The following is a 25,083-nucleotide window of genomic DNA, read 5'->3' as shown; positions in this document are numbered from 1 at the left end:
AAGTAAGGCAAAGATGTGGAGTCTCCTAAACGCGCCATTCCACTTCAGTAAGACCAGAAAGAACCCAAGAGCCCCCCACGCCAGGCGAAAACGCCCCACAGTACAGACCAGCGCTGAAGAGCTCCTCGACGGCACTGACGTCCTCCTTTCCAGGATTTCAACGATATACAAATGGCAGGGGTTCCGAAGCCACATTTTCCCATTTATATCCATTAAGTATTGTAAAATGAGGAGCTTGAAAAGAAACACCCAAATTCCAGTCTGCACCTAAGAACAGAATCGCACGAGGTGTAAACACACGACACGATGGCGAGTTCTCCCAACTCTAAGTAACCCCTCCTTATTTTGCTCTTTGTCACGATGATCCTGATGATCAACATCAACATTTCAGCCAACAACGGCCCATGTCTCCAAGGGCAGCCCCATAAAATCCTAATACTATATTTCCCTGTACCATTTTTATGTTTAGACACATAAATACACCGTTTTACAATTGGCTCCAGGATTCAGAACAGCCATATGCAGCACAGGTTTGCGGCCTAGGAGCGACAGTGTGTACCATAAAGCCTGTGTGTGCAGTGGGCTCTACGTCTAGGTTAGTGTAAGCGCACACCATGACGTTCACACAAGGAGGAAACTGCCTGACAACACACTTCTCAGAGCACATTCCCACTGTTAAGCTTCACAGGACTGTGCGTGTGGAAACAAGGAATTCTATACACGGGGAGGAGTCACGCAGAGACATGGGGACCACGTCTTTACTGATGTGGCCATCGGCTGACGCTGGAGGGCACTTACTGAGGAGGTCACGTCCAGGTGAAAGAGCACGGGGACCTTCTGATACTGCGCATCCAGGAAGGGCAGCAGGGCGCCCAGGACTCGGCTCTCATCCACCTGAGGGTCGATCAGTCGAATTGTTTTCAGAGGCACATTTTTCACGTTTAACTGCATCTTCATTTTGTCGTGCAACCTCTTCACGTACAGAGACTTTCCTATAACATTAATACAGAAATTAGGGCTGGGAGTGGTGGCTCACACCTGTAATCCTAGCACTTTGGGAGGCCGAGGCGGGGGGATCACTTGAGGTCAGGAGTTCAAAGCCAGCCTGGTCAACGTGGTGAAATCCCGTCCCTACTAAAAATACAAAAAAATTAGCCAGGCGTGGTGGCAGGCACCTGTAATCCCAGCTACTCAGGAGGCTGAGGCAGGAGAATCGCTTGAACCCGGGAGGCGGAGGTTGTAGTGAGCTGAGATTGCACCACTACACTCCAGCCTGGGCATCCCTTAAGACATCCCTTAGGGTGCAGTTGTCATCGTTAGGGTGACAGAGCGAAACTCTGTCTCAAAAAATATATATATATAATATATATATACATACAATATATATATAATATATATATACATACTATATATGTATATATAGAATATATATAGTATATATGGAAGTATATAGAATATATATTATATATGTAAAAATATATAGAATATATATAGAAATCTATATAGAATATGTATCGAATATATATAGTGTATGTATATACAGCATGTGTGTGTATATATATAAAAATAGAGAGAGAGAGAGAGAGAAAAATTAAGTCCCAGGGCTAGGACAAAGAGTAAGAGAATCTATAAAGATCCACTAGAAGTTACTTCTCTTTGTATAAAATTCAAAACTGATGCAACATAACATCAGATTCAAGAATACGCTCTTGAACCTTCACATTTCCCAGCCGTTACCTACTCACTCTCCTGGTCACCTCCTGCCTCCGCAGGACAGCAGGCAAAGCAGAGTCCCGCGCCACTTAGCACTAGGGACACGTTCTGAAAAATGCATTGTGAAATGATTCTGTCACTGTGAACATCAGAGTGTGCCTGCAGAAACCCAGATGGTAGAGCCGACCACACACCCGAGCTAGGTGGAATAGCCCATTGCCCCTGGGCTGCAAGCCGTGACAGCATGGGGGCATCCTACATACAGTGGGGAGCTGTGACACGGGGCAAATATCTGAATATCTAAACATATTCAGGCCAGGCACGGTGGCTCAGGCCTGTAATCCCAGCACTTTGGGAGGCTGAGGCGGGTGATCACTCAAGGTCAGGAGTTTGAGACCAGCCTGGCCAACATGGTGAAACCCCATCTCTACTAAAAACTAGTCAGGTGTGGTGGCGTGTGCCTGTAGTCCCAGCTACTCAGGAGGCTGAGGCAGGAGAATCGCTTGAACCCAGGAGGCAGAGGCTGCAGTGAGCCGAGATCGTGCCATTGCACTCCAGCCTGGGCAACAGAGTGAGACTCCATCTCAAAAATAAAAATAAAAATGTAGAAAAGGTACAGTAAAAAATATGGTATTATAATCTTTTGTTCTTTCTTTCTTTCTCTTTTTTTAAAAGACCAAGGCCTTGCCCCGTTGCCTAGGCTGGAGTGCAGTGTCGTATTTGCAGCTCACCACAGCCTCGACCTCTTGGGCTGGAGCGATCCTCCCAAGTCAGCCTTCCTAGTAGCTGGGATCACAGGCATGCACCACCATGCCTGGCTAATTTTTAAAGTACAGTTTTCTAATCTTATGGGACCGTGGTCATATACGTGGTCTGCTGTTGACTGAAATGTCATTATGTGTTGAGTGACTAGCTAATAAAAGTCACAGCAAAAGGAGAGGCTTCAGCAGGGAGGGGAAGAGTAATGTTTATCCCAACAGGACGAGGTACTGTTGATAGGATAAAGTCAACAGAACAGAAGCTACTATTTCTTTTTAAGGGAAACAAGATGGCAAACGAAGGGTGGGTCAAGAGGCATGGCTTTCTCTTCAATTCTACCTCCCCTTGCTCACACGACCAACATCAACCCCAAAGAGGCCAGTGGCATTTAAGGGCAGAAGAAGTAAACTTCAGGCCGGGCGTGGTGGCTCACACCTGTAATCCCAGCACTTTGGGAGGCTGAGGTGGGCGGATCACCTGAGGTCAGGAGTTTGAGACCAGACTGGCCAACATGGTGAAACCCTGTCTCTGCTAAAAATACAAAAATTAGGCCGGGCACGGTGGCTCATGCCTGTGATCCCAGTACTTTGGGAGGCCGAGGAGGGCAGATCATGAGGTCAGGAGATCGAGACCATCCTGGCTAACACGGTGAAGCCACATCTCTACTAAAAATAAAAAAATTAGCTGGGTGTACTGGTGCATGCCTGTAGTCCTAGCTACTTGGGAGGCTGAGGCAGGAAAATCGCTTGAATCCGGGAGGCGAAGGTTGCAGTGAGCCGAGATCACGCCACTGTACTCCAATCTGGGCAACAGAGTGAGACTCTGTCTCAAAAAAACAAAAAACAAAAAACAAAAAAAAATAAATTAGCCAGGGATGGCGGTGGGTACCTGTAATCCCAGCTACTCAGGAGGCTGAGGCAGGATAATTGCTTGAACCCAGAAAACGGAGGTTGCAGTGAGCTAAGATCACGCCACTGTACTCCAGCCTGGGTGACAGAGCAAGACTCTGTCTCAAAAAAAAAAAAAAAAAAAAAAAAAAAAACCACAAAGTACACTGCAGAGATGTTTGCTGAGAGGAGGAAGGGAATGGGGCTCCCAGGGAATACCCATTGTGGGAGACCAGGTGACCAGGGTGCCTGGTTCTGGCACAGACCCTGATTGACACCCACAGATGAATCACACCCTCCCTGAGCCTCGGTTTCTCCACCTGCAGACAGGCTTCATCTGCTGGAGGGGGGAAGGGCCCCGGGCAGTCCCTGGGAGACGGGGCCTGCCCACCCTGCCGCTCTCCTTACCAACACCTGCTCGCTCCGAGGCCACGATCCCAACACACAGCCGGTCATTGAACACGGCTGCCGCCGACAGGGTCTGCTTCGGGACCCGGTAGTGACCTGCCAGGTAGGCTTGGATGGCCTCGAGGGGTGCCTGGGGGGTGACGAAGACCTTGTGCTGGCTGAAGGCAGAGGGGAGGTAGCAGTGCTCCCAGTCCCCATCACAGACCATGACGAGCTGGTAGTCTTCTCGGTGCTGCTGCGTGCACAGATTGTGGAAAAGCTCCTCCGCTTGGCGTGCCACCTCGTAGCTCAGCTGATCTGCGAACAGCAGGCTGTAGACCTTGTGCCCCAGGGAGCCCAGGGTCAGGCAGCGGCGCAGCAACAGTGCCACCTCCTCAAAGGTGGTTGCCGGGGTGCAGAGCAGCACCTCATCGTAAGTGGGCAGGGGCTGGCTTGGGGTTTGCATGTAGACAGCCAGGGCGGCTGGCAACACCTCGGAGTGGCCACAGACGACGAGGTTGGGCTGGCCGACCTGCAGACCTCTCGGGAGACAACGCTCCACGGGAGACCCACCCATCCCTGCCAGGTGAGCCAGACAGTGGCCAAGGGTCTCTAGGTCGAGGCAGTCGGGCAGGAAGGCAGGAAGGCACCTCATGGACTGCTCCATGATGATCCTCAGCTTGTCCACCAGGCTGAACTCTGATAAGAGCATCAGCGGGAGCTCTTCCATGACTCTCCTCATGCGGTACCTGGCGGCCTCACTCCCACACCCCACAGAGGCCCTTAAGACATCCCTCAGGGTGCAGTTGCTTTTGATGAAGGATAGCATCGTTAGGGCGGCATCACTCGGGGGCTGCTTCCTGAGCTCAGTGCTCAGGTAAACCAGCTGCTCTGCCGTGTAGAAGTTCAGGTAAAAGTGCTCCATTCGCTTCTGGGTCACAAATCTCTTCCAGCTGTCAAGGAAGTGCTCCATCTGCCTGCAGAGGGCTGCCAGCAGCTCAGTGACATCTCCACCTTCTTTAAGCTCCGTCACCAGGTCCAAGCCAAAGTCCATTTGGAGGGACACACCCTGCTTGGGGGAGCAGTAGGCCATGGCGATCCACGTCCTGAACAGCATATTCCCAGCAGAGTGCAGGTCGATGAAGGCCTGGCTGAGCCTCTGCACACTGCAGAAGACCTGGAGAGGCAGAACCATGAGGTTGGCTCACAGAGCCATGCGAGAGGGTAACACGCTACTCTGCAACAGCACACAGGCCTACCGCCAAAAGACGGCCCTGTCCACAGGCCCACTGCATGATCTGCGCTCACAAGGCCTCCCTCCTCATCTACACAACCCACCTGAGAAGATGGCACTCTCATCAGGGAAAGAGTCATTGTAGAGATAAATGGTATCATTTGTTTTAATTTTTTTTTTTTTTTAATTTTTTTTTGAGATGGAGTCTTGCATTGTTGCCCAGGCTGGAGTGCAGTGGTGTGATCTCGGCTCACTGCAACCTCTGCCTCCTGGGTTCAAGCAATTCTCCTGCCTCAGTCTCCGGAGCAGCTGGGATTACAGGCACGTGCCACCATGCCCGGCTAATTTTTGTAATTTTAGTAGAGATGGGGTTTCACCATATCGCCAGGCTGGTCTCAAACACCTGACCTCAAGTGATAGGCCCGCCTCGGCCTCCCAAAGTGTGAACCATGATGCCTGGACTGTTTTAATTTTTTTAAATTATCTTTTTTTTTTAATTGGGAAAAAAAAAAACCTTATACTTTTTGAGACAGGGTCTCGCTATGTTGCCCAGGCTGGTCATGAACTCCTGGGCTAAAATGAGCCTTCCACCTTGGGCTCCCAAAGTGCTGGCTTTACAGGTGTGAGCCACTGCACCCAGCAGAGATAAAGGATACCATTTGTAAAGTACAAATCAACTTTAGAGAAAGAACCTATAATAAAATTGAGAGACTATTACTTAGACCGGTACACCATTCTCAATATGATTACTTCTGTTTTGTCCATCTAAATCTTAGTTATTTGGATTCTTGCTGATTTACAGAGTGAGAGAGGCAATTCAAGTGTCTTTCTAAGGGCTATTTGCTGGGTGACCAACCTCCTTCTCAGTGCGGTGGACAGGCTGCCAGCTTCAGCGTTCATCCTACGGATCGTAAGGAGGGACTGCTAACCCAGGGGCCTGCCTGCCTTAAGACCTCTCTGGGGCCGCGGACTAGAGTTCCATGCACCCTACAAATGTGCCAACTCTACTCTCCATGGGCCTAAGAGCAGAGCCCTTCTTATCAGTCAAATCCCAAGTCAAATCCTTTCCGTTTTCTTGGGAGTACACAGCCCTCACGGACGAGATGACACCACCAGCTTAGCGCCACTGCAAAGATGCGCCCTCACCTCTGAAAACCTCTCCACTTCCGTGTTGTTACGATCCTTCTTGCCAGACATCAGCATCAACTTGTTCAAAAGCTCCTTCACCTCCTCTAAAGAGTACTCTCGTGACTCCTCGTGGCTGCCAGGGCTCTCAGGAAGGATCAAGTGCAGAACCGTGTCTGGGGAAATCTGTGAAGAGCATAGGTTAGAAGTCACTTTCTTGGGGCCAGAAGACCTGGACTGGCAGCAGCCTGCAGAAGGGCCGCAGCTGCGCCGAGGGCTGGGGACCGCTCACCTTTTGGCCACCTTTGGGCGCCTGGATCACATAGATGCCTCTTTGGTTGATGGCCGTGGCCAGGGTCAGGGATGAGCGTTCCACAGACCCATGACTCTCATTCACAGTCTTCAGCCATTCCAAGTTCCTGGCGGAGTCACACTATGGGGACAAAAGGAGAGAACACGGGCCACGGTTGGAGCGAGGATCTTGCCCTTCTCCCTCCTGTGGTCGGCCTCCCGCCTCTGCCTCGCTGCAGAGCCTTCTCCCCACGCTTCCCCAGGGCTCAGGACGCAGTCGCCCACCCAGCGCCCCAGCTGGACCAGGTGCCACCCTGACAACATGATCTGTCACTCAGTGCTGCTTTGTACTCGCTGTTCCACGTTTCCTCCAGTGCCTGGTGCCCCGGCTGGCACATGGGGGCACTTGACTTACATCTGTGGAGGAGTGGAGGGGAATGAGCAGCCGCCCGCCTGCCTCTCTACCAGACGCCATCATTCTGCCAGGTCCCCAATGCAGAGAACCCTCTGGGGGTGACGCTGGAAGCAATGGCTGTGGAGTCCCAAGTCCTCAGTGTCCTTCTGTGGTCCCCAAGTACAATAAGAGAAGTTTAGGAAAAATCACAACAGAGGGTTTTGTTTGGAAACTCTGCTGACTTTCTAGCAGAAAAATGAAGATAGCTTTACCTGCCCTTCCATATGTCACTTCTTCCTCCACCCACATGCAGAGCAGCCGTCCGGAGGCTGGCCCAGGTATCTAGTTAAGCTGCGTACGTCAATTCAGACCCTGCTACAGGTAGTTTACTTAAACTTAAATGTTTACTTTTTTCTTTTCTTTTCTTTTTTTTGAGACAGAGTCTCACTTTGTCACTCAGGCTGGAGTACAGTGGTGTGATCTCAGTTCACTGCTATCTCTGCCTCCCGGGTTCAAGCAATTCTGTCTCAGCCTCCAGAGTAGCTGGGATTACAGGCGCACACCACCATGCCTGGCTAATTTTAAATGTTTACTTTTTTCTGATAAAAAATTCTATCAATTATAGAAAATAACAAAAAGTAACAGAATAAAATGACAATTACAACCATTCAGAGAAAACTCCTGGCAACGTTTCAGCATATTTCCCTTCTGTCTTTTTTCCACGTGTGTTTTGCACCTTAGAGATTACTATGTGTCATGTAATTTTGTATCCTGCTTTCTAGGTAACAAGATGGTGAATTTCCATTTATGAAGAAAAGCTTTTTAAATATCATTGAAAACGGCTGTGTACAAACCTACCACACAGGTGTGCCACCATTTCCACAGTCACTGCCCTAACGTTGCTAAGCAATGCTCTATTCAACAAAATCTGCATTAGAGACAGAATAAGACTCACCAGTTTCCTGGGCAGGTACTGGTCCTTATCCAGAGCCTTCCACAGCTTTTTCAGATGCTTCATGAATGCACTGAAGTCCACGCTGGGGTCCAGCTTAAATAGCAGGGATGCGTAGCCCTGCACAGCGTCATGGAAGCAGGCCACCCGGTCCACATCAATGTCATTCTCCCCCGCTGAGATGGAGGCCAGGTCCACAAACACCTTCAGCTCATTGATGCCTGGGGAAGAGAAGAGGGGAGTTCAGCGTGGGACTATTCCACGATAGCACAAGACTCGGTCTTGGGCAGTAATCCTTACTGAAGCTGAAATGGATATTTCATGAATTTTTAAGGTTCTGTCCACTTTCTGCTTTCAGTAAGAGTCCGGAACACCTAATCTTTTGTAGTTTTTTTTTTTTTTTTTGAGACAGAGTCTCACTCTGTCACCCAAGCTGGAGTGAAGTGACATGATCTCGGCTCACTGCAACCTCCACCTTCCAGGTTTAAGTGATTCTCTTGCCTCAGCCTCCCGTGTAGCTGGGATTACTGGCGCCCACCACCACGCCTGGCTAATTTTTTGTATTTTTAGTAGAGACCAGGTTTCACCATGTTGGTCAGGCTGGTCTCCAACTCCTGACCTCAGGTGATCCACACGACTTGGCCTCCCAAAGTGCTGAGATTACAGGTGTGAGCCACCACGCCCAGCCTGTACTGTCTGTTAATAGCACTAAACGATATCTTGCCGTTCCTGAGCAATTTCAATGTCCCAGGCACTGTACTGCACTTCTGTGTATGCTCTTTCCTTCAATCCACACAACATTACCATTTAAACAAAAAGAAACCAAGGCTCAGCTGTAAATAACATGTTCACAATTAACTATGAAACACTCAGATCATTCCCCTCAGATAAATTACTCACTGAAGGATGTGCATCAGTGTGGACCAGAGAGTCCACCACTGAAAGCAGCGGCTCTCCCAAGAGAGCCAGAGCCTGAGATCCAGCAGGTGGTGGCCCCCAGACCCCCGAGCACACCTGCACTGCCACCTGTGCCCCTCCTGCCTCCTCTGCCTCTTCCTCTCTCCTCTGCCAACGACATCTAAGCCACAGAACTGAAGAGGCTGCCAAGAAACGCACAGCATCAATGGAGAAGTGAGAAAAATCTCTCTGTGGGGCCAGGCGCGGTGGCTCACGCCTGTACTTGCTCACGCCTGCACTTTGGGAGGCTGAGATGGGTGGATCACCTGAGGTCAGGAGTTCAAGACCAGCCTGGCCAACACGGTGAAACCCCATCTCTACTAAAAATACAAAAAAGTAGCTGGGTGTGGTGGCGGGCGCCTGTAATCCCAGCTACTCAGGAGACTGAGACAGGAAAATCGCTTGAATCCAGGAGGTGGAGGTTGCAGTGAGCCGAGATTGCACCACTGCACTCCAGCCTGGGCAACAAGAGCGAAACTCCGTCTCAAAAAAAAAAAAAGGCCAGGTGCAGTGGCTCATGCCTGTAATCCCAGCACTTTGGGAGGCCAAGACGGGCTGATCACGAGGTCAGGAGATCGAGACCATCCTGGCTAACACAGTGAAACCCCGTCTCTACTAAAAACACAAAAAATTAGCCGGGCGTGGTGGCGGTCGCCTGTAGTCCCAGCTACTCGGGAGGCTGAGGCAAGAGAATGGCGTGAACCCGGGAGGCAGAGCTTGCAGTGAGCCAAGATCACGCCACTGCACTCCAGCCTGGGCGACAGAGCGAGACTCTGTCTCAAAAAAACAAACAAACAAAAAAAAAAAACCTCTCTGTGGGCAGGAACTCTCCTTGTCCTCCAGTAAAAATCTACTGGAAGAAAAAGCTGAAGGGGGCAAGATTTTAAGGAAAAGGAACCTGAGCCATTTACAGCTTCCGAAGTGGCGGGGTGTGGCAAGGTGAGTGGCTTTTACAGCAGCACATGGGAAATACTGTACCGGTGTGAACTCTATGATCAGTGCCCATCTCCCTAAAGCATGCAGGCAACGTCTTTCTGCCCTTTACGTAGTCCTTGGCCAAGGGGAGGTATTGCCAAAGAGTTTAGGAACGCCACACAGTGCGCCATCTGAAAACTTTCTCCACACTTCCACGCAACCCCAAAGGCTGATTTTACCTCCAAGAGCCTCCCGGACCCAGCAGATGAACTCCTTTCTCAGGGACAGAGCCTGCAGCCCCTTGCACCGGGCCTCGCTGATGTCCTGGAGCAGCTTTTTGGCCTGGATGAGCTCCTGGTTGATCTGGTCCAGTGTTTCACGGCGAAAGTCGTCGAAGTTATCAGTCTGCAAGAAAAAGCTCTACTGTGGACTGGAACTCATTAACCAGAACCCCAGAATCTGTGAGCTGCAAGCACTGACCGTCCCAGCAGCCCCACCCTCCCTCAATGCCTAGATTTGCCACTGCTGTGACAACAGGCACACCAAGCTCTTACCCCTGAATTGGATGATCAAACCCCCATGGCTGTTTCTCCCTGATCAAGATGAACTGTGATTCCTGGGAACCTGATATTCTGCTAAGCATTTTAATAAAGTGGATTTTAAAATCAATTCCTCACATAACCCTGCCAAGTAACTACTGTTGCTTTTTCTGCTTTGTCAATAAAGGCCCAGAGCAGTTGCTTCCTCGAGGACGTGCACTAGGGTTCAAGTGTAAATGGATGGGATTCCAGGTTTTTTTTTTGGTTTTTTTTTTTGAGATAAGAGTCTCACTCTGTCGCCCAGGCTGGAGTGCAGTGGCACGATCTCGGTTCACTGCAACCTCCGCCTCCGTGGTTCAAGCGATCCTCCTGCCTCAGCCTCTCTAGTAGCTGAGATTACAGGCACCTGACACCACACCCGGCTAATTTTTGTATTTTTAGTAGAGATGGGGTTTCTCCATGTTGGTCAGGCTGGTCTCGAACTCCTCACCTCAGGTGATCTGCCCACCTCAGCCTCCCAAAGTGCTGGGATTACAGGCATGAGCCACTGTGCCCAGCTAAATTCTAATCATTATCTCGGTCTACCTAAAAACATAAGAAGCAGAAGACTCAGCCGGGCACGGTGGCTCACGCCTGTAATCCCAGCACTTTGGGAGGCCACGGTGGGTGGATCACGAGGTCAGGAGATCGAGACCATCCTGGCTAACACGGTGAAACCCTGTCTCTGCTAAAAAAAAAAAAAAATACCAAAAAAATTAGCCGGGCGTGGTTGCGGGCACCTGTGGTCCCAGCTACTTGGGAGGCTGAGACAGGAGAATGGCGTGAACCTGGGAGGCGAAGCTTGCAGTGAGCCAAGATCGCGCCACTGCACTCCAGCCTGGACGACAGAGCGAGACTCCATCTCAAAAAAAAAAAAGCAAAAGAGTCACCTCTTAACTCTAACAGAAACAACTGATTTACCGCTTTTGGGTGGAACTGGGAGATGCAGTTGGGCAGCCGACAAAGTGTTTTGCTTTTTGGCTTCTGTAACCTAGAGAGAGCCTATGACCCTTTACAAATGCCCGTTATGAAAAGAGGATTGTTGCCCTTTCCTGAGTTCTTGATCTTCACGCAGACCCAAGGAAACTCCCTCTGGCTAAGGAGCAGTGGTACTATTTATAACAAAGGTAAAAACAAAGCCCTTGGGATATTCAGGCCTCAAGTACCACACACACAGGAGCCCCTGACGGAAGCTCTAAGTCATCCGCCCCCCTTTTCAAAGCCACAAAGCCCATGGCTCCTGAAGAGGCTGAGGCAGGACGCCCCTCCAAACCCCCACAGTCCCCAGCAAATAACTTACAAAATTTAGTAAAGTGTTGAGAACACTGAAGTCACCGTTCAGTCCCAGGCTCTCTTTGACCTGCAAGATGACCTTGGCTGCGTGGACAGCCTGGTGCAGGTGATGGTATTCCTTGATCTGTTCGACTCGGTCCTTGATCCAATCTCTTTGGTCCTGGTGGTCCACGGTGCACATGATCTTAAGTTCTGAATCCAGGTCCGTGTATTTATTCACAAAGTCCTTGAAGATGACATCAATCTCTGCAAGGGTGACCTCTCCTGACTTTAGATCCTGGTGCAACTTAATGAACTTTCTGTAAGAAGGCTGATACAAATAGTCATACACCTCTTCAAGCTCAAGGATGTGCCTTTCTGATTCTTCTTCGGGCTCACTCAGCAACTCTGCGGCTTCCTGGTCCTCCTTAGGCTCACTCAGCGGCTCTGCGGCTTCCCGCCAGAAGAGCTGGAAGATGTGGCTGTCTCTGAGCAAGTCTATCTTCCCAGCCATTTCTTGGACCTGGGAGCTCAGGTGGTAATGCGTTGCCCTCTGCGAGTTCGAGGAGGTGGACAGTCTCACTGTCACGGTGTCATTTAATCTTTTACTGCTGAGGTCTTGTGAGTGTCTTACTGCAAGCACTCCAAAGTCCACTTTAGAAGCGAAAAGAAAGTGTCAGAAGTCAAAGCTCTAATCATGATTCCATTTTATTTCACTTTCCTAAGACTTTCTCTCCTCACTTCTCTGAGCGAACTCAAGAGCACACAGCTGCTAGGATTTCTTTCTCAGGAAGAGTTCACAGGTCTTTCCCTCCCCGCTTGGCCTTGTTAACCAATATTCATGATAAAGAAAGCATCATAAACTTCTGGGTAAAGATGGCAGTGGGAAAACACGCACCTATTTACTCTCTTTGCCAAACCCCACTCCAATGACAGAACATAAATTGCATTTAAAAAGTCATAAACTAGTTGGGCGCAGTGGCTCATGCCTGTAATCCCACCCAGCACGTTGGGACGCTGAGATGGGCGGATCACCTGAGGTCAGGAGTTCATGAGCAGCCTGGCCAACATGACAAAACCCTGTCTCTACTAAAAATACAAAAATTAGCCAGGCGTGGTGGAGCGCACCTGTAATCCCAGCTACTCAGGAGGCTGAGGCAGGAGAATCACTTGAACCTGGGAGGTGGAGGTTGCAGTGAGCTGAGACTGTGTCACTGCACTCCAGCCTGGGTGACAGAGTGAGACTCCATATCAAAAAAAAAAAAAAAAGTCATAAACTGACAAGGACAGGAGGAGGAATGGCGAACAGGATAACAGGAACAAAATTTTAGAAGTTGAAAACGAGCTGAACCAGTGGTAAATGACACATGAGGCCTGGTAACATGGAGTCCTAGGGTCCCAGTGGGCAACACTGAGAGCTGAGTAGTTTTATGTCACAGGATTCCCAAAAAGCAGACACACATTGTGCAGGTCACTGCAGACTGGGAGGTGGTGATGAAATAAGGAAGACTGGGTTCAAAGTCTGTTTAAGACACGGTCCAGGCTGGGCACAGTGGCTCACGCCCGTAATCCCAGCACTTTGGGAGGCTGAGGCGGATGGATCACTTGAGGTCAGGAGTTCAAGACCAGCCTGGCCAACATGATGAAATCCCATCTCCACTAAAAATACAAAAAACTAGCTGGACGTGGTGGTGGACACCTGTAATCTCAGCTACTAGGGAGGCTGAGACACAAGATTCACTTGAACCCAGGAAGCAGAGGTTGCAGTGAGCCGAGACTGAGCCACTGCACTCCAGCCTGGACAACAGGGCAAGACTCTGTCCCAAAAAAAAGACATGGTCCATCCAGCACACCAACTGTCACCCCAATGCCCTGACACAGCAGGTGGACCCCCTTCTTCACCCCAGCAGCCAAGAGATGGTTCATTTTCTAGAAAGGATAACGCAGGGGGGCGTGTGGATTGGAGGCCACAGATACATGGCAGAACAAAGGGCCTTTCTAGACACATCCCCTTTCTCAGGAAGCTAACAGAAGACATGAATTATCCAATCTCAGGGGGAAGGAGGATGGGGTGTGAAACACAGGAGACAGAGGGAGGTGGCGGAGAACCACACTGAGAACACGGGCCATGGGAGGACCACGCACGGGATGCCAAGGCCCGCCAGCCCGCTTCTCCCTCTTGGCTCCCAGAAACCTGGCAGCCAGGCCCACACCCTCCAGGCAGGAGACAGAAGACTTCAGGAGACAGGCCAACTTCCAGGTCGAGCCACAGCACCCCACGGCAGCACCCCGCAGAGGGCCAACCCACTTGTGAGGGCTTTCTCTTAATAAACACAGACAAACAAGAATGTCCAGACATAGGAGGAAAATCAAAACAAATCAACAAGTGAAAGGAACCTGGAGGAAGCAGCACATGATGCCAGGAAAAGCAAAACCTCCAAAACAAAACGGTGAATAACCCAGAAGGGAAGATGCTGCAACGTGAACAAGAACAGGACAGAATTTAAAAAGGAACATTCCGAGAAAAAGAATTCCTCTACATTAAATATATATACGAAAGCTGACATGAAAACCTAAGCAGAAAGTTTGGTTCTGAATAAATCTCTCAAGAGCAGAGCAAAAAACAGAGATAGAAAATCCGAGAGAAAAATGATGACAGTTAGATGATCATCCAGGAGGTCCCATATCCAATTAACAGGAATTCCAGCAAGAGAAGAAAAAATTAAATCATTCAAGAGAATTTCCCAGAACTCAAGGATTTTGATGTCTAGAGTTGAAAGACCTACCTATTAATACCCAATAGAGGGGACTGAAAATATTTTATTTTTTGAGACAGGGTCCCACTCTGTCACCCAAGCTGGAGTGTTGTGGCGTGATTTCGGCTCACTGCAGCCTCGACTTCCCAGGCTCAAGTGATCCTCCTGCCTCAGCCTCCCAAGTAGTTGGGAATACAGGCATGCACCACCGTGTCTTGCTAATTTTTTTGTATTTTTTTTAGAGATGGGGTCTTGCTATGTTGCCCAGGCTGGTCTCAAACTCCTAGACTCAAGCAGTCCTCCTGCCTTGGCCTCCTGAAGTGCTGGGATTACAGGTGGGAGCCAACATGCCCAGCCTCGATGGAACATAGATCCAGGCCAAGACACGTTATTATTTCAGAATATGAGTAACAGAAAGAGCTCAAGAGCTTCAAGAAAGAGAAAACAGGTCACACACATGAAGGATGTGTAACTGGCACTGCATCGGACTTCTCCATACATAGCCACACTGTGGAGGCAATGATGGCGCAGCACATTGAAACTTCAGAAGGAAAATGACTTCCGGTCTGTAATTCTAGACCTAGCCGAGCGACTGACCTAGTAAGAGGACAGACATCTTTAGACACACAAGGATTCGAGGGTTTAACCTCTTACACGCCCTTTTCTCAGGAAGCCAGTGAGGGTGTGCTCTGCCAACAGAGGAAGCAGGAGTGAGTAGCGGGGGAGGGGGGCGTGGGAACCACGTCTAACCCAGGTGCCAGGCAAAGGCTCCTAGGAGGTGGAGGGAGACTCCACCCTACGTCTGCAGCCCAGGGTTGGCAGGTTCCTTTTCAAAGGTCAAACCAATGATCTTCAAGGAAATTCAGACACTCGGCAGAGATTGCGATGGAATTAGAAATTAATACAATGAAAACAGCGTATCATTAACGCAGTGAAAACAGCATCTGACAGGAAATGTAATTCTGTGGAAAACAGAGAGTTTGTGCAAAAATTGTAAAATGATGACGGTTTCTTTCGTGGTTCACTTGTGATCCGTGTGGGTCCTGATGATTTAACCCTAAACAATGATGCAACTCCGTTATGAGAAAACAGGAAGCAACAGGAGGTGGAAAGGTGATGTGTGCAGGGCACAGACCAGAAATGTGTGGCTCTAAGCCCTCATCTTCTGCAGCGGGCGTCAGCAGCTCATGCTGACTCCGGAAAAATCCAGGAGACACTTAAGCATGTTATTTGGAAATGTGGACATAAATACCAAAAAGAAGAATCTAAAAGAGGTGAAAGCGATCCCCCCAGCAAATGCAAATTAAAAAAAAAATTTTAAAGCCTTCTCTCCAAAATAAAGATCTGCTACTGTGATCCATTCTTACTGTGTTCTCCTCTAACCCTTTGAGAGCCCTCAACTTTGTTCACTTCTCAGGAATACCACCTTGTATCAGATGTTTCACGTTCCCACACATCTTCAGGAGACTATCAACACATCTTTTCTCTTTCTTTAGAAGTAACAGTTCCTCCCTTCTCCAATCCAGTGCTTCCTCCACAGCACATTGTTCATCCTGGGGTGAAAGACTTTTTTCCCCTGGAAAATAAGAACACCAATAAAGTAACCCAATACAGCAACAAATGCCATTTTCCATGGCAATGCTTTGAAAGCGCCGCACCTTCCCCGCCACCAGGAGAAGGACTAGGATGGTTTTGCGCATACCCACTTTTTCGAGATGGCCATTATTTTATCACTTTCCCGTGATGTTCTTGAGAATTATAAACCACCCCTATCAACTTATGAGCAAGAAGAGATACTCATTATCAAGGCTAAGATGATTATCTCCTTTACAAAAATGCACACGCAAACACAAACGTGTCTTCCAGCTACTTAATGCCTCAGGAGCCTGAAGTGCGTATCGACTCGATGCTTACTCAGTTGCCAGATGTCAAGAAACTGATTCTTGTGCTTTATAATCAGCTCCAGTTGTCCAACTAAAATCGTGCCACTTAGGAGGTCACCAACAACTTTCGTCAACACAGAGTCGGCAACAGCTATCAGCCTCTTGGCATCCTCTGTGACATTTGCTAGTATTTTCTCGTCGGTTCCTGAATAGATGAAGAACACAGTTAACACAGTGGGCTCCCCACCTCCTGCCTCTTTGCCGTTACCGTGGGAATTCCAGATAACCTCTTGTTCTGCCCCCACTTCCTCAAACACAGGCAATGGCTGGCCAGTGTCTCCAGATGCGCCAATCATTCCACTCCCTTCTGCTTTCCCCCACGAGGGTTAGGTCTTGCCCAGATTCATCCCCTGAACAACTTCCTTGTCCAAGAAGATGACTTCCCGCAATGGCCAAAATCAGCTGGGAGACACATTTCTCAGGTTAAAACCCACGTCCCCTTCAGTATACGGATGGACTGACTTCCTTTTTTTTTTTTTTTTGACAGGGTCTCTCTCTGTCACCCAGGCTGGAGTGCAGTGGCACAACCATAGCCCACTGTAACCTCATTTTCCTGCCTCAGCCTCCCGAGTAGCTAGGAACACAGGTGCACAGCACCATGCCTGGCAAACTTTCAAAATTTTTTGTAGAGAACAGGGTCTCACTTTGTTGCCCAGGCTGGTCTCAAACTCCTGGGCTCAAGAGATCCTCCCGCCTTGGCCTCCCAAAACATTAGGATTATACGCATGAACCACCTCACATGGCCTGAGTATATTTTTTAAATAGAATACACAGAATCTTCTTTAAAAAGCCCCTGCCCTAGGAATACCTACAACAGAAGAAACTGCACCAGAGGATGCAGACATACCTAGCAATGTCTATCAGGATGGTCTTAGGGAGACACTTTCATAGCATATGCAAAGAGAGAAACAGCCATGTGATAACTTTATACTCTGTACAACTTCATTATCTTGCAAAATCTTGGAACTGATTTTATGATAAATTTAGAGGGCAGAATTTTTATACATGTTTTGTTTAACCACTTAGGATTTCTCTCCCAGTAATATTAGAGCCATACAATATTAGGAGAAGATGAAGCTTATCTGCACCATAAGAAACAAACATAGTAGCTTTACTAATCATTGCAAAAACTTGGAAGCAACCAAGATGTCTTTCATGAGGTGAACGGGTAAGCGAATGGTAGCACATCCATACAATAGAATATTATTCAGTGGTAAAACGAAGTTAGCTCTCAAGCCATGAAAAGACATGGAGGAAACATAAATACGTATTACTAAGTGAAGGAAGCCAGTCTAAAGGCGACATCCTATAAGATTCCAACCATAGGACATTCTGGAAAAGACTAAAGGAAATGGGAGGGGTGGAGCATGGGATTTTGTAGGGGCAGCGCAACTATTCTGCACGATACTGGAATGGTGGACACAGGCCATGGTTTATCCAAACCTCAGAGAATGGACAACACCAGGAACGAACTATGGACTTTAGTTAATAACAGTGTTATCAATATTGGCTTCTCAGCTGTAACAAAAGCACCACACTAATGCTGCATGTTACTAACAGGGTACTGCCCGTGTGATGGTGGCAGAGATAGATGACAACTCTCTGTACTTTCTGCTCAATTTTTCTGTACACATCAAAGTGCTCTAAAAAATTCTATCCAACTTATAAACAGGCTGGGTATGGTGGTGCACGCCTGGAGTGCCAGCCACTTGGGAGGCTGAGGCAGGAGGATCACGTGAGCCCGGGAGGTCAGCGCTTACGGTGAGCGATGATGGCATCACTCTACTACATGCTAACTTGCGCAACAGAGAAGACCTTGTTTTAAAATTAAATAAACTGCTGGGCACAGTGGCTCACATCTGTAATCCCAGCTACTTGGGAGGCTGAGGCAGGAGAATCGCTTGAACCCGGGAGGCAGAGGTTGCAGTGAGCTGAGATCACAGCACTGCACTCCAGCCTGGGTGAGAGAGCGAGACTCCATCTCCAAAATAAATAAATAAATAAATAAATAAATAAATAAATACAAATAACACAAAAATGATCTTTTCAAGAGAGTAGCTTTTACTTGTGCACTCCCATATTAATTCAGTTATTTGATCCCCACAGCTTCCCTGATGTGTAGGAAGCTCAGCATTGATTTTGGCTGTTCCACATCCAGCGCCTTCTCACTGAAAGATATGAATCTAAGGTCTCACACGCCAACTGGACTCTAACGTTTTTAGGATGGAATGTCTCTCTCTCTCCCTCCTTGACCACAAAACACCTGGGGCGCGGGGGGCTGGGGGGAAATCAGACAGCACAGTACTTCACTTTCTGTTGAGGTCATCAATGTTGGCTTGGACATTCTATATTGATCTCCAAATAAGACATACCTGGGTCTGGATTTTAGTTTTTACTACTTATAATCTTTGAGACCTTAGGTAAGTCGCATTGCCTTCTCCATTTGTTTCCTGATCTGAAAACTGGGGGCCTTAAAGGGGACTTTCAGAAGGGTTGTTTCAAGGGCACTTCCCTTGCGACCCAGCACAGTCGCTAGGGTACAGCAAGCATTCAATGAATAGTGGCTGTTAGCATTAGTTATTATTTACAACGCAAGACACTCTGAGCCTTCCAGGGTCTCTCTGTCCAAACTGCAGCCTTTGTCAAACATCAGCCCATCCCAATTCAGTATCATCATGTCAAATCTTCTGCCTCCCACCTTTCCCAATCAGGAAGACACCACCTTGCCTGAGCTGATGTTCCCAGCACTCCCGCAAACATACCACACAATCTGAAGACGTGCTTGACATCTGCCAACGTGAGCAGATGCTTTAAAATGTCATCGAAGTTGTCCGCGGTCCTAGGCCAGGACTTAGTGATCACAGCAGACAAGACGATGCCAAATTTCCGCAAATCAGAGTAAGAGAACCCCTGAAGGATACTGGTCTGAGACTACAAGAAAATTAATAAAAGAGGGACATTTAGAAGTTTTTCATTAGTTTGTTTTGAAATAACAAAAGCAAATTACCTACTCGATAGCATTTCTGAAATCTACTGTAACTTGTTTTATAAGGCCACAAAAAGAGCAAAATAGTAAAACACTTTACATTTCTTCGAAAATTTTCATTTCCTTGTATACTGCCTCCTTAAGTGTCCAGCACCAGAGATGTGAAGACACACACACAAACACACACCAACATAACCAGTCACCCTCCTTCCTTCTGGCTGCCAGTTTCTACATTTTTTTTTGGACTTTCATATCATGAAAAATACCAAAAATGAATAAACCCTTAATATAGCATATATTTTATGTTCCTAAACCATAATTCTTTTAAAAAGCTGCCTACAAACAACATATACATTTTAATTCTCTTTTTAATTCTCCTCCGAGAAACAATATTTTTCTTCCTTTAGGTTCAAAGTTTCTGTAAAACATTTCAGTAATTAGTAAAAACCACAAGGTTAATTTATAATAGATACTTTCTGACATTTAAAAGGATAAAAGAAAACCTTATCCAGCCCCATGTTAAAGGAACTATACACCACGATCAAGTGTAATTTATCTCAGGGATGAAAGGTTGATTTAACATCAAATATCAGTTAATAACATTAGGAAAATATCGCATGATCATTTCAGTAGATACGGGAAAAGCATTTGACAAAATCCAACTCTCTTCTATGATTAAAGAAAAAAAAGCATTCAACAAATGAGGAACAAAAAGGAACTTCCACAAACTGATAAAGGGCATCTATGAAAAGCTCACGTTGACATCACACCTGGTGGCAAAAGACTGAAACCTTCTCTTAAGATCAGAACAAGACAAAGATGTCCACTTTCAATACTTTCATTCAACATTGTACTGGAGGTTCTAGCCAGGGCAGTTATGCAAGAGAAAGAAATAAAAGGCATCCAGATTGGAAGAAGTGAAACTCTATTCACAGATGATATGATCTTATGTATAGAAAATTTAATTCTCTCTCTCATGCACACACACACACACACGCACACACAATTTGAGCTACCAAATGAGCTCAGCAATGTTGCAGGATACAAGACGCATGGAGCACTGTGTGTCTAGACACCAGCAAGGAACAATCTGGAAACAGAATTCAGAAAACAATTCCAATTACAATAGCACCCCCCCCCAAAAAAAAGTACTTAGAAATTTAACAAAAGAAGTGCAAAATTTAAACTATGAAAAATACAAAACATTGTTAAAAGAAATTGGCCAGGAATGGTGGCTCATGCCTGTAATCCCAGGACTCTGGGAGGTCAAGGCGGGTTGATCATCTGAGGTCAGGAGTTCGAGACCACCCTGACCAATATGGTGAAACTACTAAAAATACAAAAATTAGCCAGGCATGGTGGTGGACACCTGTAGTCCCAGCTACTTGGGCACTCCAGCTTGGGCAACAGGGCGAGACTCTGTCTAACAGGGGAAAAAAAAAAATCTAATTGAATGAAAGAAATCCAACTTAACCTTGTTAAGATGGCAATGCTCTCCAAACTGATCTATACATTGAATACCAGCCCTACCAGAATCCCAGCTGACTTCCTTGTCAGTGGAAACTGACATACTGATTCTAAAATTCTTATGAAATTGCAAGGGACCCAAAATAGCCAAAACAATCTTGAAAAATAAGAACAAAGTAGGAGGACTCACACATCCCAATTTCAAAACTTACTAGAAAGCAATGGTAGTCCAAACAGTGTGGTACTGACACAAGGATAGGCAAGTAGATCACCACATAGAATTGAAAATCTAGAAATAAATCCATACATGTATCGTCAACAGATTTTTGACAAGAGTGCCAACATCACTCAACAGGGAATGTAGAGTCCTTTCAACAAATGCTGGGACAACTGGATGTCCACATGCAAGAGAATGAAACAGAACCCTTACCTCACACCATATACACCATATATAAAAAGGAACTCAAAATGGATCAAAGGCCTACATGTAAGAGCTAAAACTATAAAACATTTAGAGATAAATAAACATAGGAGTAAATCTTCATCACCTAGGATTTGGCAAAGGATTCTTTGACACCAAAAGTACAAGCAACAAAAGAAAAAACAGATATGCTAACTTCTTCAAAATTAAAGACTTCTGTGCTTCAAAAGAAACCAATAAGAATGTGAAAAAACAACACATAGAATGGGAGAAAATACTTGCAATCATATATCTGACAAGTGACTTGTATATAGAATAAAGACTCCCAACTCTATAATAAAAAGACAACCCAATTTAAAAATGAGCAAAAGAGGCCAGGTGCGGTGGCTCATGCCTTCAATCCCAACACTTTGGAAGGCCAAGGAGGGAGGTTCATGTGAGTCCAGGAGTTCAAGACCAGCCTGGGCAACATCTCAAGACCCTGTCTCTACGAAAAAAAATTTTTTTTTTTGAGACAGAGTCTCGCTCTGTCGCCCAGGCCGGAGTGCAGTGGCACAATCTCAGCTCACTGCAACCTCCACCTCATGGCTTCAAGTGATTCTCTGGCCTCAGCCTCCCAAGCAGCTGGGACTACAGGCACATGCCACCATGCCCAGCTAATTGTTTGTATTTTTAGTAGAGACAGGGTGTCACCGTGTTAGCCAGGATGGTCTACAGGCATGAGCCACCATGCCCGGCCCACAGAAATTTTTTTTTTAATTAGCTGAACATGGTGGCACATGCCTGTAGTCCCTGCTACTCGGGAGGCTAAAGTGGGAGGACCACTTCAGCCCAGGAGGTTGAGGCTGTAGTGAGCTGTGATCGTGCCATTGTATTCCAGCCTGGGTGACAAAGCGAGACCTTTTCTCAAAAAAAAAAAAAAAAAAGGGGGGGTGGGGGGGATGAGGGGCAAAATATCTCAATAAACATTTCTCCAAAGAAGATACAGACAAATCCAATAAGCATATGAAAAGATGCTTGATATCATTAGTTATCAGAGAAATGCAGTTAAAAACCACAATGAGGCCGGGCACAGTGGCTCACGCCTGTAATCCCAGCACTTTGGGAGGCCAAGGCATGTGGATCATGAGGTCAAGAGATCGAGACCATCATGACCCACACGGCAAAACCCCGTCTCTACCAAAAATACAAAAATTAGCTGGGCATGGTGGCACATGCCTGTAGTCCCAGCTACTCGAGAGACTGAGGCAGGAGAATTGCTTGAACCCAGGAGGTGGAGGTGTCGCAGTGAGCCAAGATCACGCCACTGCACTCCAGCCTGGGTGACAGGGCAAGACTCCATCTCAAAAAACAAACAAAAACCACAAGGAGATACCACTTCATACCCACCAGGATGGCTAGAATCAAAAAGTTAGACAACACATGTTAGTGAGGATGTGGAGAACCTGGAAGCCTCCTATGCTGCTGGAGGGATTGAAAATGGTTCAGCTGCTGTGGGACTCGGCCGGACAGTTCTTTAAACAATTAAACATGGAGTTACCATATGATTCAGCAATTCTACATCGAGGTATACACCCAGGAGAAATGAAGACATACACCCACACATAAATATGTACACTAATGTTTGTATCAGCAGATTTATAATAGCCGAAGAAGCAACATAGATGGCCGTCAATGGACACATGGATAAACGGGGAATATTTGGCCATGGAAAAAAATGAAATATAGGTTGAGCATTCCTAATCCCCAAATCCAAAATACTACAAAATCCAAACTTTTTGAGTATAATGATGCCACAAGTGAAAAATTCAACATACAAATACTTAATACAAACTTTGTCTCATGCACAAAATTGTTAAAAATATTGTATAAAATTACCTTCAGGCTATGTGTATAAGATGTATATGAAACAAGTGAATTTTGTGGTTAGACTCTGGGTCCCATCTGGAAGACATCTCATTATGTAAATGCAAATATTCCAAAATTTGAAAACATCTGAAATCCAAAACACTTCTGGTCTCAAGCATTTTGGGTAAGGAATACTTAACGTAAACGGACACAAGCTACAATATGGATGGACTTTTGTTGTTATTGCTTTTTGAGACAGGGTCTTGCTCTGTCCCCCAGGTTGAAGTGCAGTGGTGTGATCATGGCTCACTGCTGCCTTGACCTTCTGGGCCCAAGGGAGCCTCCCACCTCAGCCTCCCAAGTAGCTGGGACCACAGGTGTGCCCGGCCATGCCTGGCTAATTTTTTTTGTTTATTTTTTAGTTTTTATAGAGACAGGGTCTTACTCTGTTACCCAGGCTTGTCTTGAACTCCTGGGCTCCCAAAGTGCCGTGATTACAGGCGTGAGCAACCGTGTCCAGCCTGAGCGGTCTTTCAAAACATTATGCTCGGCCGGGCGCGGTGGCTCACACCTGTAATCTCGGCACTTCGGGAGGCCAAGGTGGGTGGATCACCTGAGGTCGGGAGTTCGAGACCAGCCTGACCAACATGGAGAAACCCTGTCTCTTCTAAAAATACAAAAGGAACCGAGTGTGGCGGCACATTGTTCTTTAAACAATTAAAAGACTCTTTAAACAAAAAGTAGCTGTAATTCCAGCACTTGGGAGGCTGAGGCAGGAGAATCACTTGAACCCGGGAGGCAGCGGTTGCGGTGAGCCAGGATCGCACCATTGCACTCCAGCCTGGGCAAAAAGAGTGAAACTCTGTCTCAAAAACAACAAACAACCACCACCACCAACAACAAAAAAACATTATGCTCAGTGAAATAAGCCATACCCAAAAGGCCACATATGATATGATTCCATTCATATGACAGTCAGAACAGAGAAAGCCACAGAAGCAGTTGTTTATGTTCAGCAATTGTTTATGCCTGCAGAGGGGAGTGGGTGACTAGAGGGGAGGAGGATGATGGCTAAAGGGGCCGGGTTTCTCTTTGAAGTGATGAAAATGCTCTGTCATTAACTGTGGTGATGACTGTACATATCTGTGACTACCCCAAAACCTGCTGAACTGGAACTTTTGACAGATGTACCGTATGGCATACGAACAATATCTCAACAAAGAGTTAACGAAAAAGGGAAAGGAAAACCTTATCAAAGGTATCAGTCACTTAAAAAATTAGAACCCCTTGGTCCCCGGAATTCAATGACCTCAATGTTTCTGGACTTCCCCTGTGGCCGCAAGGCTGTGCTTGTACAGGGGTTAAGTGTCCAATTAGGAAATGTGAGCAGGGCAGCCGTGGCCAGCAGGGAGCTTCCTCATGTGGCATTGCCTGCGAGACTGTTCCTGGGAGACAGGGGGGCACAATCTCTTCCCCTTTGCCGAAAAGAGCTAAATAAATTGATACAATTTTCCATTTCACATATTTTGCTTCCATAAATGTTCTGTCAACCTTTGGAGTCTCTTCCCGCACACCTACTGAGCAAGTGTTAACAATCAATCAAACCAGCAGCCACAGTGATGACAGGGCCATCTGAGGAACGGCCTGCAAGCCCGTGTGACTTGTGCCACACGCGCACGGCCGTGATTCCATATGGAACACATGCAGGATGGTGCGAGCAGCAGGGACTGTGCAGCACACTGAGGAATCCGGAGAGAACTAGATTTCAGCGCCATTGCCCTTGGCGAGGGAGGAGGGTGCCCACTTCCCAATCTCTGAGTTAGCGGAGGAGCTGAGACCCAGCGGGTGCTTCATAGCCCTTAGCTGGGTCATGGCAGAACACAGCTGTGAGCCCGAATCCGTTTCCCAGGAGGAGAGATTGTTCACCTGGCAGGCTGAGCTCACGGCTTCAATGATGCATTTCTCGAAGGTCTTGGCCACACTGTCCTCTAAGCCTTTGGTGTCCCAGCAACTATTGCAGTAGGCAGTGATCTGGGAGAGGGGTTCCTCCTGCAAAAATCAAAGGGGGGTGGTTTCAGAGCTTTCGGATGCAGCGCTCCAGTGCTCTATGGGATGAAAATTCTTTCATCATTTTTACTTTCCTGCTGTTTTACTGTTTCCCCCAATTTTAAGCTTCTCCTGGCCCACGCAAAGCATGT

The 25,083-nt window shown here is 47.2% G+C and overlaps 1 protein-coding gene across 12 annotated transcripts in view; it reads right to left on the bottom strand.

Annotated features, from left to right (window-relative positions):
- Positions 1 to 25,083, bottom strand: part of RNF213 (ring finger protein 213) — a 137,943-nt gene that overhangs the window by 54,671 nt on the left and 58,189 nt on the right. For 11 of the 12 annotated variants that reach the window (XR_007065355.1, NM_001256071.3, XM_047436482.1 and 8 more), the window contains 12 exons: positions 24,812 to 24,934; positions 18,926 to 19,094; positions 16,135 to 16,308; positions 15,647 to 15,796; positions 11,493 to 12,118; positions 9,854 to 10,019; positions 7,746 to 7,963; positions 6,398 to 6,538; positions 6,127 to 6,291; positions 3,768 to 4,923; positions 799 to 992; positions 109 to 267 (listed from right to left, as the gene is read on the bottom strand). Coding sequence is in view for 11 of the 12 variants with exons in the window: in NM_001256071.3 (NP_001243000.2) it covers positions 109 to 267; positions 799 to 992; positions 3,768 to 4,923; positions 6,127 to 6,291; positions 6,398 to 6,538; positions 7,746 to 7,963; positions 9,854 to 10,019; positions 11,493 to 12,118; positions 15,647 to 15,796; positions 16,135 to 16,308; positions 18,926 to 19,094; positions 24,812 to 24,934 (3,441 nt within the window). In the remaining variant the exon portion in view is untranslated. Of the gene's footprint in view, positions 1 to 108; positions 268 to 798; positions 993 to 3,767; positions 4,924 to 6,126; positions 6,292 to 6,397; positions 6,539 to 7,745; positions 7,964 to 9,853; positions 10,020 to 11,492; positions 12,119 to 15,646; positions 15,797 to 16,134; positions 16,309 to 18,925; positions 19,095 to 22,660; positions 24,935 to 25,083 lie in introns of those variants that run through there. The other variant, NM_020954.4, reaches the window with a different exon arrangement.

This window comes from Homo sapiens, chromosome 17, assembly GCF_000001405.40.
Source record: "Homo sapiens chromosome 17, GRCh38.p14 Primary Assembly".
NCBI lineage: Eukaryota > Metazoa > Chordata > Mammalia > Primates > Hominidae > Homo > Homo sapiens.
Note: the sequence above shows the minus strand (reverse complement) of the source record. Positions and strands in the feature narration are given on the sequence as shown.